The following is a 17063-nucleotide window of genomic DNA, read 5'->3' on the forward strand; positions in this document are numbered from 1 at the left end:
GGTACATGAGCAGTTAATATTACACAGCTATAAGCATAATTATCATAAAGACTATTGCAGCAACATGGCAAATGCTCAAGCTAACGTGTTGTGAAAAAAGCAATATGTAAAATATGAACTGGAGGGAAATCAAACATGAAAATATCTATTAGGAAACTTTATTGGTTTTTTTTCCAAGTTATATTTAATGTAGTTTTTGTCTTTTCAGTGAAAAAAAAAAGTAAAAGAGAAAGTTTAAAACCAGAGGAAACAGAAAATTCATGTGATATTGATATTCCATGAATAGTTATAACTGACATGGTCATGAAATTCTGGTTGGAAACTTTCATTGAGTAACTGTCCTGAAATCTCCCCGAACTCCCCCATTCCATCACCCCTCACCTCTGAAAACTTAGGAGCTCTGAGGTCACTTACTACTCTGTCATCCAATATCATCACGGCAAGGAAAGACCACGTCCTGTGACCATAGATAGAGCTTGATAGGATAGAACTTGAGGGGTGGGCTTCCAAAGGTTTGTGAGGACACACAAAACCCCAACTCTCAGACCCATGGGCAGGGATATGAGCAGCTCTGCCACAGAGCCCTGGGAGGGCTCTCAGGCACCCTTTTGGGCTGTCAAGTTCCAGCCGCCCATCCCTGCCCTCATGGCCCTGCCCCTGGTGCCAAACATTCTACCTGACTTACCCATATCCACCTGTGGGCCAGAGAAACTCATTATTCAGCCACTAGACCCCAAACTGGGACCCCAGGGCCCTTACCCCTTTGTCCACCTTGCCTTCCCTCTACTCAGAGCATCCACGCCTGACCACAGTGAAACCATCCTGACCATGGCCTAGCTGTCCTTTTGAGGACAGACCTTTCCCTCCCTGCCCTCTTGGAGAAAACCACAAAAACAAATCAGGAGCCAGCTTTGTTCCAAGGGGAATGTTTTCACCCTGCTCCCACTTCATGAAGTTCTTTGGCCCAGAACACAGGAAATGAAGCATTTATGAGGTTTCCCGGAGGTATCCATGCAGCAGGACCAAGTACCTGCCAGCTCCGACCTCACTTGGAGTTGCTTTTGTTTCTCTGGCAGCTAGCGTTCTTAAGCTGGCTCATTTAAGTGTGTGTATTTACAAACAGACTTTACTGGTATTCCTTAAGAAACTGCTTCCTTCTGATTACCCGACTCAGTCTCTGTTCAGTGAGTCAGAGTCATATGTTGTTTTATACATTGGTGTATCCTTGGCTATTTTCTAAGCACAGATCCCAAGCATAAGCTCCTGATGGGCAGGGACATGGGTGACATTTCTTTATAGCCTAGCAGCTAACATAGTGCCCTGTATAGAATAAATACCTGTTGGCAAAGTGGAAACAACCCAAATATTCATCAACAGAAGAATGGATAGACAAATTGCGGTTTGTTTGTATAATGAAATGCTACTCAGTAATAAAAAGGAATGAACCACTGACATGCAACAACATGAATGAACCTCAAAAAGATTACATTGAAGAAAAGAAGCCAGACACAAAAGAGTACATACTACATGATTTTGTTTGTACGAAGCTCTAGAACCAGCAATACTCATCTGTATGACAGAGGTCTATTATAGGCTGAATGTTGGTGTATCCCTCCCCAAATTCCTATGTTGAAGCCCTAAGCCCCTGTGTAGAAGTTTATTTGGAAATGGGGCCTCCAAGGAAGTAATTAAGGTTAAATGAGGCCCTGATACGATTTGCGTGCTTATAAAAAGAATCACCTGGCTGGGTGCGGTGGCTGACACCTATAATCCCAGCACTTCGGGAGGCTGAGGCGGGTGGATCACAAGGTCAAGAGATCGAGACCATCCTGGCCAACATGGTGAAACCCTGTCTCTACTAAAAATACAAAAGTTAGCTGGGCGTGGTGGTGTGTGCCTGTAATCCCAGCTACTTGGGAGGCTGAGGAAGGAGAATCACTTGAACACAGGAGGTAGAGGTTGCAGTGAGCTAAGATTGCACCACTGCACTCCAGCCTGGGTGACAGAGCGAGACTCCATCTCCAACAACAACAACAACAACATCAACAAAAAAGACACCTGAGAGCTCATTCTTTCCCTTTCCACCAGCATGTGCTAAGGAGAGCCATGAGAGGACAAAGGGAGAAGGTAGCCACCTGCAGGCCAGGAAGAGAGCCCTCACCAGAAACTTGACTGGCCAGAACCTTGATCTTGGACCTAGAGTTCAGAACTATGAAAACTAAATTTATGTTGGTAAAAGCCTCCTAGACTATGGTATTTTATTATGGCAACATCAAGAGACTACGATCAGAATAGTGGTGTCTTAGTTCGGGCTCCTATAACAAAAATACCACAGACTGAGTGGCTTAAACAATGAACATTTATTTCTCACAGTTCTGGAGGCTGAGAAGTGCAAGATCAAGGCACTGGCAAAGCCAGTGTCTGGGAAGGGCTCTCTTTCTGGTTTGCAGATGGCAATTTTCCTGTTTAATCCTCACATGACAGAGACAGAGGTTGAGAGAGAGAATGCAAGCGTGAGCACATGTGGTCTGGTTTCTTTTCTCTTCCACTAAGGGCACTAATCCCATCCTGGGAAGCTCCATCTTCATGGCCTCATCTAAACTTAATCACCTCACAAAGGCCCCTTTTCCAAATACCATCACATTGGGGATGGGGTTTCAACATGTAAATTTTGGAGGGATACAAATAGTCCACAGCAAGTAGTTACATCAAGGGAAGGGTTAGTGACTGGCAAGGGAAATTTCTAGGGGGAAGGAAATGTCCTACATCTTGATAGGGTGATGGTCACATGGATATTTACACATGTATGCAAAAAGCATTGAGCTGTACACTTAAGACGTGTGCCTTTTACTATCTATGAATGACACCTCAATAAAGAACTGAAAAACCACTGTTGGCAAGAATTTTTTCTGCACTGTGACTCATACCTCCCTAACTGATCAATTTGGGATGAAGATTTATGAAGCACCCACTGTGTACAGATTCTGGCAGTAATCACAGGTATAGCAAGAGCGGGGAAAACAGCAGCAGCCTTGGTCCCTAGTTCTCAAGGAGCCTTTTTCAGCTCCACAGATAATAATATCTGGACATTCTTAAGTCACAGCCACTGAGCCAGATTGTATCAAATGCTAACAGCTCATTAAGAGACTTCTTGACACGTGAGAAGCCACATTAACCCCTTCGTGCTTCCACTGAGGCAGCTGTTGCCTGGTCCCTTTGAGAGCCAGCCAGACCCTGGGTTGGTTCAGCTGCTGGCAAATACCACCAGGAAAAACAGAAAGGAAATGGAAAGCCAGTGCAGAAAGTGTTAATGAGATTTTAAACTGTGCAATTCTGACCTTGAGGACTCCCTACATCTAAGCAAAAGAAGCCGAAAAACAATTTACTCCCACATTTCAGCAGTTGACTTTTCTGTATTGTGCAGTCTTAATGGAGTTGTTAGCATCTTAGGACAAAAATGAGAAAATTTCCCCAGGTGTTTCCCACTCCTTTCTTTCCAGGACTTTGGCAATGCCAATGTGATGTGGCCAGACACCACCTCAGAAGCATTGTAAATTTGGGGCAAGAGCTACACGTTTCTTCCCAGGGAGAAAGGTGCCATTTCCTTTGGTGATACCAGCCTCTTTGCAGTAAAACAAACAAAACAAAACCCCAAAAGTTTGCTTTTATAAAATCACTACATTCTAGAAAAGGCAAACATGTAGCACGTGTGCCATAAACTTTTCTCTTGTGTCCTTAGCAGACATTGTTAATTGATCACAGCATTGTTAATCACTGAGCCCAGTTCCAGAATCAGTGATGTGTTGAGCTGGTTGGTACTAACTTTTGAGAGCCAGTTGTTAAATTTTCTTGCTACCCAGTTGTTAAACATGCCCATTATTAAAAATTAAATTATATGAACTTATAATTAAATGAATTATATGAAAGCAAAGGTAATGGATACACAAAATACATTTCCTAATTATTTTACCACATTTTACTATTACCTATGGTTCTGAGGTTATTTACATCTATAGAATCTGGAAATACTATATAATGATGCCCTACTCTACATCTCTTCCTGTTTAGTGATATGGTCCTGGTAGCTTGAAATAGGCCACAATGACACACTGTTTTACATCACAAAAATTGGCAAATGCTATGATGTGGGGGGCTGTCCTGCAGACCCTGACCCAGCGACAGAGGAATAACATGCACCGACACAGATATTTTGCTTTGTCAGTCCAGCTGAGTGTGGGGAATGCTTACAGACTCCCAGGAGAGTGCTGTAAACAGTTGCGACTGCAGCCCCCACCAGCCAGTGAGACTGGCATTTATTCAGTAAAGATTAATTGACAAAGGCTTGAGTCAACACCACTAGAGGGTAATTGACATTGCAGACCTCCCAAGTAGAAAGCAATTAAGCACCTGCAGTAGATCAACGGTTAGTCATGAGTAAACAAGCTAGTAAGATAAACTCCTCCACATTCCTTTGTATCTACTTTAATCTATTTAACTAAAGGTAAAGGGACTAGGCAGCCTTCAGCCAGATCTATTACCAAAGTTATGCAAACTCTCAGGCCTTCCAAGAGGGTCTGTGGCTATTATAACTAAAATTTTTCCCACCAGCCTGACTGAACCCTCACACTACAAGTCAAAGCATCCCTTCTACCAACACTGAGAACTAATTGTTAAACATTTACCAGCACACCACTGCATCAGATGACAAGAGACCCTGCAGAAAGAAGGCAAAGCATGCCAACCCAAACCATGCTGCCTGTGATGGGGGAAGGAGTACTGATCATCATGCCTTTCCAAACAAGACTTGGCATGGAAAAATGTGCTGCTGAGCACTAGATCCAGCCAAGCCTGAAGCCAAAACTGCTGTACATTTTACCAATGAGACTTACCTAGGGGCACTGTTTTCTAACTCTCACAAAGACATCATATGGACTAGCAGCTTGGCCCTGGAAGGGACAGGTAATTGTTTTCTCTGGAGTCTTCTGGAAGGGTGCCTGGAGGACTCATCCCAGAGCAACCAGCCAAGGTCAGTCAAAATCAGAAGCAAACATGGGCATAACAGCTGGAGGGGCTGGACAGAGGGGTGCAGCAGAGAGGCCCCTAGAGCTGAGAGGGGTGCAGGCAAGGGGTGAGACTCCAGAGCTGATCTGGAGGTTCTTCCCAGGAACCCGGCCTGGCCATTTGGGGTGGCAGAGGCTAAAAGGCAGAGAGCAGGCCCAGGGCTCAAAGACCCTGCACTCAGAAACGGTAATGGAGATCCTTTTCTCTCAATTTCAGGCAGTGAAACACATGAAGGGGAAAGTCCCCACAATCTGGGCCAAATGGGGGTATCGTAGGCAGAATCTCATGGCCTGAAGCTCTGCCTCCAGGGTCAGGAACTCCAAGCTGTTCCCCTCTCAGTTTCTTCTCTCTCTCTCTCTTTTAAATTTAAAGTAGACCTCTGCTCTAAAATATTCAAGACTAATCTGCACTATGTTCCTCTAGGAACTTCTCCTAAAATGCAGATTTGGGAGCTACACCTCTTGGAAAGGTGATTAAGCGGTTTGGAAGCCCCTGAGATACAACCTCTTTATTTTATTGCTGGTTTTTCTGCAATGGCATCACTGCCAAAGGCAGCAGAAGTCAATGTATTGGGGTGGAATGGAGATAGAAGGGTAGCTTTGGGGCTGTGGTGGCAGGCAGGACAGGCTGCACAATTTGCGGGGCTCAGTGTCAAATGAAAATGTGGGCCCCTTTTTCAAAAATTACTAAGGATTTCAAGGCAGTGATGGCAAAGCATTAAGACATGGGCCCTTCTGACCCCAGGGCCTGTATGTAATGGCAAAGGTCACCCCATGAGACTGGTCCTGGTAGCTGGTCACCAGCTGCCTGTGGAGATCTTATATTATCTGAATATTTATAACCCAAGGGATGCCCACCTGATTTTTAAGGACCAAGGCTGCAGAGAAAGGCAGTGAGTCTTGCGCTGACCCCGTCCTGACTTGGAAGGAGAGCCGCAGTCCTGGGGGACCCAACAAAGCAGATCTTCAGGGTTTGGGGAAACTTCACTTTCTCCCAGGGTCCAGAGGCTCCAGATCCCTGGCTTGGTACCTGTTTGGCTCTGGAATGGATACAGAAATGTCTTAGGGAGATAGGAACAGAAGTGAAGGAAGACCCCAAATTTGGCAGCTCAGCTACATGGGAGACCACAAGCTGACCGGGTCAACCTCCACAGAGGACTATAATCCCGCCCTGCATCCCAACCAGCCCTGAGTGTCTCAGGCATGACTGTTTCTCATTGGTCAAGTCATCCCCTTTTCACTCTGATCCTGTCCTGAAAAAAAAAAACAAACAAACAAAAAACCAAAAACCAAAAACTAAGAGGATGACCAACTCATCTCAGTTTGCCTGGGACTTTCCTGATTTTAGCACTGAAAGCCCTGTGATCTGGTAAGCCTGTCAAAAAGGATGGCTCGTCACCCTAGAAACCAGTCATAGCAAATGTCCATAGGAGGCCTCCTTCTGAAAAGGATGGAGTCATTCCTGTGGCCAGGCATCTCCTAAGGTTAATTGGCTAAGACCCAACAATTGGATACAGCAGGTGCAACTCCTTCAGCATCTCCAGGTACATTTTTCTGGGCATTCCCCAGGATCTTACATCAGTCACCATCATGTATAGCAAGGGCATCTTACTAACTGTGACTGTAGTTAGTGATTGGTAACAGCTGCTTTGGGTTTTTTCCACCTGAAAACCCCATCCATGCCCCAGGCAGTGCTTCTCATCTCTGGCTGCACATTAGAATACCCTGGGAGGCCAAGCTTTGTTGTTGTTCAAAATGCCTAAATCATTCTGACACACACCCAGGGTTAAAGGCCCACTGCTCTAGGGCCTAGAACAGTGGACATTTTACTGCACCTTTGTCCAAAACAGCATTCTGAGGTCAGTCAGGCCCTGCCCAGGGTCTCCTTCAGCCCACCTCCCTGCGAGTGGAGGGGGGGCTTATACACAGGCATAAATCCTAGATTAAGCATGTTTGCTTTGCAATTTTTTTTTTGGAGGGACAGGGTCTCATTATATTGCCCAGGCTGGTCTGGAATTCCTGGCCTCAAGTGAGTTTCCCATCTTGGCCTTTCAAGTAATCGGAATTATGGACATGCACCATGGCATAAGCAGGTATTTTAAGACCCAAAAGAATATCAGCCCTGTTCTATTTTCTTGATTATCAAAGCATTTGGCACTGCTTTTGATGATCAATTTAAATATTTTCTCTCCAGGTTCTTGCCATTTAAAGACTAAAACTCTGAAAGCTCCTGGTTTCACAGACAATGATCAGGAGGCTCTATTGACTGTCCAATTGGAATATTCTTGCACTGTGGATACTGTGAGTCTGATGACTAACCATGTTCCTTCCTTTACACTGGCTGCTAGGAAGCTCAGAGTCAATTTGTAGCTCACTTCTAGGAATTGTACAGATTTATACTTACTTTGCTAACTTCATTTCTGTTTTTATCTTACTTCCTGAGCCTACTTTCCCTTCAACCCCATGTACTTAGCTATTTATTTTGTCTGATTGAATTGAATGTATACACCAGCTGCCACAAATCCTTTCAGAAGTGAAGAAGGGAATAATAAATAAACAAATAAAATGCAAATGGTAATGCTATTATTAGGAAGAGGCAGAGCTTCTGGTTTTTGATGCAAAGCTACCTCCTCAGGTTGCAATGCTTTTCTCCCTGACTCATGCAGAAAAAGTACTAATGCCCAACCCAGGAAGTGCCTTTCAGCCTTCTCTCTGACACTGTCTTCTGGCCTCTTCACACAGCTGTGGTAGACACTTGCCTTCAACAGCACACCATCCTCCCCAGTCAAGGCTATGATTCTCTCTACCGGGTTACAAGCTCAACTCAGGACTCTAGGAGAGTGATTTCACTGCTGGGGTGGAGTGTTGCCATAGTTGTTCCAATTAATTTATTTGATTTATTTTCAGGGTTATGAGAAGGGCTTTTGATATCAATATGCAAATGTAATTTAAAACTTAAATCAATATTCTGAACCAAGAGCATGGGCATTTTTAACCGGAATGCAGGATAGTCTTAAATGCCTGAAGTTACAGCTCTTTGTGACTGATGACTTGATTCTCCATGGAGTTTTATTTGCAGATGCCAGGAACTTGGTTATTCCAAGAGCTCTATTGTTCAGAAAGCAAGGAGGCTATGTAGGGTGTTCAAGATGTCTTCACTTTCTTCCAGCTGCATGACTATTCAGAGGTTCTGTACAAATGGCTAAGGCAAACCCTCCATATTATAAGCAACATTTACAACTCAGTCCATGAACTGTATGCCCACTTTCCATCATAGAATCCTAGTGCTGAAAATTATCTGGGTGAACATCCAATGCAGCCCTTTCATTTGATGAATAAATAAGCTGAAGGGACTTGTCCAGGATCCACATAGGGAATGAGTGGCAGAGTTTGGACTGGGATCCAATCCCACTCACAACTCTGACCAACCCAGAATCAGGCGCATAAACTTCAATTCTAGCCTCCTCAGACAAGCTTACCAGGGATTTCCTCCAGTCCTACTCTACTTCCAACCTACTTCATATATTCAAGGTACCCTCCTGATGCATTCTATGCCCCAAACCATCTGAATATACGGCCTTCTGAACCCATAATTGAACATGAGGCCTAACTGAAGGCTCCCGTGGGCAATGGGAACTCTGTGTAGGGGAACTCAGCCTTGCCTCCTCTCTCGAGTCAGGGAATGCCTACATTCTGGACCGATGAACACCTTGCTTATTAGCAAGTTTTCTCCAGCCTTGCACATTGCCTCTTTCAGGGACCATCTCATGTTTCCAGGAGAGTACATGATTTTCAAAAGCCCCCTTTAGAGACAGTCCCACCCTTGCAAATTGGCACACAGTACAAAGAACATTCAAGGAGTAAAGCCCAGCCCACGCAGCTCAGGGACCGTTGCCCTCCTTGTCCTCCTGAGACTGCATTTCCTACAACACCTCACCCTTCCCCTTCCAGGTGCTCTGCGAGTTTGGGGAGAGGTGTTTGGTAAATTGACAGCATCTGGATCATATCAGAGATTTAAATGTCAAGCTAAAGATATTTTCTAGTCTTTCCCAGAGGGCTAAGATTTGAGTGCTCATCAATTCATCTCCTCCCTAACTACTTGGATTTTACACTGTAAATGTTCACAGATTAGTTGTTTCTAGTGCCTCTCCATCTCAAACGGTAAAGTGGAAGCGCTCAGGCCCCACCAAGCTGCCAAGAAGTCAGGAGCTGTAGGCGTGTGACCCATTGTTTTGGTGTTCAAGATTATAGTAACGCTGGCTGGAGTTTATTTCACACATCCACCCTGCTGTCTCTGGCTCTGATCCAGCCTACAGAAGGGAGGCAGAAGATCTTTTTAAATGATGGTAAACAATGAGGTCACAGCCCAGAACAGCCCAGCCCTCCTGGCCCCAGCCAAGAAAACACATTCTTAATGGTTACAGGAGCCCTATGGTTTGCTCTAAGTCAAGGAGTCATGGCTGGTAGGATGAAACAGACTGGGACTCACAAATTAGGAGATCCACTTAAGGGCAGTGGCTTGGAACTGAAGAATTCTCACGAGTCCCCAGATCAGGACCCCAGGCTCTAAACTCTAGCACCTAATGCAGTACCCAGCACATAGTAGGTGGTCAATAACCCCAGGGGCCTTCCTCCCTGGGCTGTAATTCCACAACCCAACACAGCACCTGGAACATAATTGGTAGTCAATAAATGTTGGTGAATTATTGCATTCATAAATCAATAACTGGATGGATAGATGTGTGGAAGGATAAATGGATGATTCGATGAATGTTGTTAAACCTTGACTCAAAACTATCAAGTCAAAAAAGTGGACTCAGCTCCTTGCAAGGCAATTCCTTTATGGGTTGAACCCTTACTCTTATTGGCACAAAATTCTCCCACTGATTGAACCAAAATCTACCATATTGTACCTTGCCCTTGGCAGTTCTAGTTTTCTCCTATCTTTCTGCTCTTTCTAGAGAGAACTTTCTTTCTTTTTTTTTTTTTTTTTGAGACGGAGTCTCGTTCTGTCGCCCAGGCGGGAGTGCTGTGGCGCGATCTCCGCTCACTGCAAGCTCCGCCTTCCGGGTTCACGCCATTCTCCTGCCTCAGCCTCCCGAGTAGCTGGGACTACAGGCGCCCGCCACTGTGCCCGGCTAATTTTTTGTATTTTTAGTAGAGACGGGGTTTCACCGTGGTCTCGATCTCCTGACCTCGTGATCCGCCCGCCTCGGCCTCCCAAAGTGCTGGGATTACAGGCGTGAGCCACCGCGCCCGGCCTCTAGAGAGAACTTTCAAAGGCAAAGCAGACCCCTTCTGCATTCTCATTCTCTTCAGTAGCATTAGAAACTAGTAAGAAATGCCGTATTTTTTAGCTGTAGAATCACAAGGGTAAACTTGAGGAAATCAACAAGTCTTTATTTCCTCTAAGACTCCACCGGTTCTGGTTTTCCCATGCATGAGTGGAATGTTGTATCTGAAGAGTCCTAGGTCTGGGTCCTTGCTCCCTGTACCAACAGCAGCCATCTCTATATCAAGATGGCAGCCACAGAACACCGAAGCCCCTGGACACTTCAGTGACTTTGTAGTGTGTCAATTAGCTAGGCCAACCTACTCTTTCCAGAATCTTCTTTCGTATGTGTTTTCAGTTAGAGTGGGTATATTTTCCCCAGTTCAGATATTTGAAAGGATCTCCTAGGCTCTACAGAGTATACTCACATAAGGCTTTTATTTAAAGGCAACAGGGAATGAAAGAGAATGCAGGGAAGCAGTGTAGGTCTGACAGGCATTCTGCAGCACCAGGTTTGTCCACAAGGGCCCAATCTTTGTGCCCACAGCCCATGTTGAATCTCTGGATTGAACTGCCAAGATCTGTGCTAGGAATCTTGGCTTCAGGAGAACCCACTGCAAAGAGCTATGTGGCTCTGTAAGTAGGCAAGTCTGGCTGCTCAAACTAGTGAGGCCAGGTGCAAACCACCAATAAAGAAGATAACACTGCGGATTGCCAGGGGAGTATTGGACCTTAAATAGTACATCCCTTGTCCCACTGCCCTTGTCTTGGTCAGGAGCCAAAAACCAAACATTGAAGTATCCCCAGAAATAAAAATAGAGCTTTGCCAGTGACATGGTTTGGCTTTGTGTCCCCACCCAAATCTCATGTTGAATTGTAGTTCCTGGTGTTGGAGGTGGGGCCTGGTGGGAGGTGATTGGATCATGGGGTGGTTTCTAATGGCTTAGCACCATCCCCCTAGTGCTGTCTTGTGATAGAGTTCTCATGAGATCTGGTTGTTTGAAAGTGTGTAGCACCTCCCCCTTTACTCTCTCTCTCTCTCCTGCTTTGCCTTCTGCCATGACTATAAGTTTCCTGAGGTATCCCCAGAAGCAGAAGCCTGTGCAACCCACAGAACCATGAGCTGATTAAACCTCTTTTCTTTTATAAATTAACCAGTGTCAGGTATGTCTTTATAGCCGTGTGAGAATGGACTAATACAGCCAGTATCTCTATGGTGGAACCCAAGAGAGATTCTTGGGAGATTAGAAGGGCAGAGGGAAGCAAGAGTTGTTTTGCAGCTCACACATGTTGCTGATCTGCTGACTCGCCTCATTGGCAGGAAGCCACTGCTGGGCCTGCAAGTGCTTTATCTTCTCCTGGATCCTCCTTCAGTTTCCGCTTTCTGGGCCAGCCATCTATGTTTAGCTCTATGACAGAAGGCCCCAGCTTCTCCAAGACACCCAAACCACCTACATCAGAGGCAACAAGAAAAGACACGGGTTTTAATTCATCTTTGTGGGGCTCCACCTTGTACCTATGGATTCCAACTTGTTCTTGATCTCTCCACTCTGTGTCCATCTTTCCTTCCCAACTGCATGCCCTGTGAACTTAAAGTTACAACATCACATGTGAAGACAATAACTTTCCAGAAGCTACTTAACCAGTTCTCATAGTGATGTAAGGACATATCTCTGTAACAAATCTTTAAAAAATGTGTCTATGTATCTATCTATCTATCTATCTATCTATCTATCTATCTATCTATCTATATCTATCTATCTGTATCTATCTATCATCTATCTATCTATATCTATCTATCTATCTATCTATCTATCTATCTATCTATCTATCTATCTATCATCTCCCAGTGGCTCTGCTTCTCTGGTTGAATCCTGACCCCTGGCTGGTACAGGTACCCTGCCACCTTCTGGGAGCCTAGCCATTGACATCTTCCTCCTTCTGTGTTGCAGAAAATGCCAGATGTTGGCCAATTCCCTAGGTGCTGCCTCTGTGAACACTGCCATTCAAATTGTAAGCTCCTTCAGACAGTCTCTATTCTATGTGCAGGTGGAAGCCTGGGCAGGCAGCCCTGTTCTTCACTATGGAGTGGGCTACATAGACTTGCAGATGCCAGATAGCCCAATAAACTCAGCTAATTTCTCACAAGAGGGAAAATGCCAAACAGTGATAAGAAATAACTGAAGAAGTCCACTAGCCATGAAAAATAGTGATTCTTGGATATCTAATAAACCTTGAGACAGGAGAGTAAGGTAAGATCACTAGACAGAGACAGGGGTGCCTTGCCATATGGATATCAGGGCCAACTTCCAGGGCATCCCTTGGCACTCACAGAATGCCCCAGTGTGCACGTGATATAAAGATATATTTTCTCTGGACTCAAACCCAACAGGTGGAGCTTTGCACATCTCTTATCAGAGAGGTTGCAAATTGGCAGACTGTGGGCTGAAGTTGGCCTGCCAATATGTTTTCTTTGAACTCAACAGTGTTTTTAAATTTTTTGCCAACTTCCACAAATTGGGGATTTCACATTTAAAAAAAACAAAATTTCCCACTTTTCTTGAAAAAATCAGAAGGTTTGGCAAGTATGGGCCTTTTTTCCTGCGTGGCAAAAATTGGCTGTAGCTGAGTAACAGCTGCTCTTGTTAAACAGGGATAGAACTCTCTAGCTCATGCTGTTCCACCCAACCTGCTTCTCTTGCTTATGTTACCTGCCTGGCTTCTGGAGGCATCTAAGTTTACAAGCACTGGTATTCCCATCTGTAGCAGATGCTGCCTGGCATCCTGCTCATATCCTTTCCCATTGCAGTAGAAACCCAAGCTGGACTTCAAACTGCCAGGATCTGCACCTTTTTACCTGAGGACTTTCTTTGGCAGCCACTCCCTCTCTGGTTGCTCCCCAACAGGTCATAAGTGCACCTTCTCAGCAGTCTTCAACTGATAGGAGTTGGTGTATAAATACCCTAGCTTCCTTCCCGTTGGTTGGAATAACTCTGAGGCACAAAATCAGTACCCTGATTTTCAGAGTTCCCCAATGCTATTAAGTTCTAGATACCCACAATGGTAGCTGACTTGATAAAATGCCCTTTAAAGGCTGCCTTATCCTCCCTATCTCTCCTCCCCTCTCCTTTGCCAGTAATTTTTTTAACCGCCTGAATAAACCACTTATACATTTTATTGTACAGTAACAAGAATTCATAGTACTTATGTTCTGTAAAGTTGCATGAACACTGAATTAGCAAATACTGAACAATTGTTCCTAGGAGAAATAGAGGGTTAGGTTCCTGTGAGCTTCCAGTCACAATATTTTTGTCAGCTAATCAATAGATAACCTTGTTTTAGGTATGTCTATGTTTAAAGACACCTAAATTAATATATATTATTAATTCATTGGCGTTGAACTCATGGCCAACAACACTATGACTTATGCCTAAATGAAGCTCATCTCACACATGTATTTTCTGTGTGAGGCACATTGTAGCCTTCTTTTGCTCAGGAGCACTAGACAGCCTTCAGCACTACATATGGGGACCATTTTAAACATCAAAATAATCAATAAAAAGCATAAAAATTGGAAAAACATGGTGCTATGCAGAATATGAAAAGGACACTTGTTTACAATATGAAAGCTGAAACGTGAATGCAGAGTATCGCTTTGTTTGACCTTAGCTGAGAACATGCACATTGAGTTACTCAAGTTTTTTGCTGCTCTGTGCATATCCATAATCAACTGTGAAAGTGCCAAGAATATTGATTCTGGAAGTTACAAATTAATTTTAGTGAGTAGACAAGTTTGTAAATATGAAATCTGTTAACAAAGAGGATCGACTGTTCCCCAGAAACTGCCTCTAGGGTACCTCAAATGAGGACATTATTAGAAGTGCTTTCTCTTCAAGTAATTTCCTCTTCAAATATTCAGTATTTGTAATTCAGAAATATACACAACTGGGAAGAAATATAACACAGTGGTTTTCAGGCATTGGCCAGTAGGTAGCAAAGGTAATGATCCCTGAGAGAGAGAAAACAAATGAGGCGAGTCCTGTGATTTACCCAGTGTATTGCCTGGAGGCAGTTACAAGGCTATAGTGCAGGAAGAAGGAAACCAGGTGGAACTTAGTGGTTCCCCTGAGTTGAAGAGACTGAGCTGGAAGTCTGGGGAGGTCAAGGAGGTTACAGTTTGTAGTTCTGAAGAGTAGAGAGCTACACCCAGAGAGAGCTCCAGTGATTTGCAGAGCCTTCATATGAGTTCTGATCAGAGCAAACATGTGAAGCAACAATGCAATGTGTGTTCTGGGAAAAGACCCACCTGAAAGGAGCAGAGGGAATAATCCTAAGAGCTCACGGAGAATTAGGTTTAGTTAGTGTTTCCACCAGTCAAAGTGGAAAACCCTGTACTTCATGGGGCATCAGATAGAGTGAGAGGGTCTTGCCTCGGTGGTGGGGAAAAAATTGACCCTTAACTAAAGACTGCTCAAAAAATCAAGCTATTTTCCAGTAACTTAACTATATTCTAGAACAAAACTCAACAATACTTACAGGAAAACAAAAATGTCCAACACTCATCAAGGTAAAATTTACGATGTCTGACATCAAATTAAAAATTACCAGTCATGCAAGAAGCAGGAAAAGATAACCCATAATGAGGAGAAAAATTAATAGAAACAGATCAAGAAACGATGCAGATGATACAATTAGTAGACAAGGACATTTAAACTATTATTATATTTTACACGTTTCAGAAAGTAAAGGAGACATCGAGCATGTTAAGTAGAGACATGGAAGATATATATAAAAAAAGATTCAAATAGAACATCTAGAGAGAAAGTTAGAATGTCTGAGACGAAAAATACACTGGATGGGATTAATAGCAAATTAGATACTACAGAAGAAAAGATTAGTTGAATTGAAGACATAGCAATAAAAACTATTCAAGATGAATTCAGAGAAGAAAAAAGTAAGATAAGTCAGGAGCTTTATTACAGTATGGCTTCTAATGGCTCATCATTCGAGTCTGTCCCTGGAACCTTACTGACACACAGTGCTTGTGGCCCTTGGGAGGGCACAGAAGGGAAAGCTGGACAAGGGGCTAAGTTTCCTAGATACAGTGCGAAGCAGAAGTATGAGGCTCCTGCCCAGGCTCAGGCTCCAGATGTCTCCAACACTCTCTAACTTTCCTCTTTCAGGCCTTAGAGATTTGGTGGGTAGCTGCTTCTACCTGTTATATTTTAAGAATATAGGCCAGGCGCGGTGGCTCACGCCTGTAATCCCAGCACTTTGGGAGGCTGAGGCGGGTGGATCACGAGGTCAGGAGATTGAGACCATCCTGGCTAACATGGTGAAACCCCGTCTCTACTAAAAATACAAAAAATTAGCCGGGCGTGGTGGCGGGCACCTGTAGTCCCAACTACTTGGGAGGCTGAGGCAGAAGAATGGCGTGAACCCAGGAGGCGGAATTTGCAGTGAGCCAAGATCACACCACTGCACTCCAGCCTGGGTGACAGAGTGAGACTCCGTCTCAAAAAAAAAAGAAAAAAAATATATTTAACCGACAAATAAGAATTGTATGTATACAATGTGAAATTTGATGTACATATACATTATCTAACAATTACCACAATCAAATTAATTAAAATATCCATCAGCATCCATAGTTATCATTTGTGTGCATGTGTGCGTGTGTGTGTGTGTATGTGTTGAGAACACTTAAAACCTGCTCTTTAATCCAATTTTAAGTAAACAATACAGTATTACTAACTATAACCACCATGCCATACTTTCGATCCCCAGAACATCTTCATCTCACAACTGAAAGTTCGTACCCTTGATCAACATCTCCCCATTGCCCCCACCCACTGCCCCCTGGCAACCATGTTTCTACTCTCTGCTTCTATGGGTTCAACTTTTTAAGATGAGACCACACACTTTTGAAGGATGTTCTTCTGAGGAATTAGGAAAGAATGGCTATGAAGTTTCCTGTCTCCTCAGTTCTTTGCTCAATTTTTGTCCTCCTATAAACATAGTTTCTTTCTGTTTTAAGACTTGCTACTCTTAAAACAGAATAACAAAATAAAGAAATCAATGTCTTAAATATTACACTAAATTTTCATAGCTCTTGTTTCTCTCTTTAAAAACATTTTTTTTAGAGATGGGGTCTTTCTATGTTGCCCAGGCTGCTCTCAAGCTTCTGTCATCAAGCAATTCTCCTGCCTCAGCCTCCCAAAGTGCTGGGGTTATGGGCACAAGCCACTGGACCTGTCTTATAGCTTCTGTTTCTATTGGATGATAAAATATAAAATCAAGGATGGGTTTGCCTTTCTCAGCAGCTTCTCTGAGCTTTTGTCTTAGGCCATTTTTAGTGCTATCACTGAATGCCACAAACTGGGTAATTTATAAAGAACAGAAATTTATTGGCTTACAGTTCTGGAGGCTAGAAAGTCCAATATCAAGGTGCCAGCATGGCAAGCGCCCTCTTTCTGCATCAAAACATGGCATCAGGCACCACACAGCAAAGGGCAAAGAGACAGAGAGAGCAAGAAGGGGTGAACCTACTCCCACAATAGGGAACCCACTGCCATGATAAAAGCTTTGGTTCACTCATGAGGGTAGAGACCACATGATCTCAACACCTCTTAAAGGTTCTATCTTCTAATTCTGTCACAACGGCAATTAAATTTCAATATGAATTTTGAAGGAGACAAACATTCACACCATATGAGCCCATTCTCAGACAT

At 43.8% G+C, this 17063-nt stretch overlaps 1 annotated feature.

Annotated features, from left to right (window-relative positions):
• Positions 6439-6718: an enhancer, noted in NCBI's record as "active region_19539". NCBI's record gives its function as "activates an Ori minimal core promoter by ATAC-STARR-seq in GM12878 lymphoblastoid cells {active_cell/tissue: GM12878}" and the evidence as "EXISTENCE:reporter gene assay evidence [ECO:0000049][PMID:35858748]".

This window comes from Homo sapiens, chromosome 3 (assembly GCF_000001405.40).
Source record: "Homo sapiens chromosome 3, GRCh38.p14 Primary Assembly".
Lineage (NCBI taxonomy): Eukaryota > Metazoa > Chordata > Mammalia > Primates > Hominidae > Homo > Homo sapiens.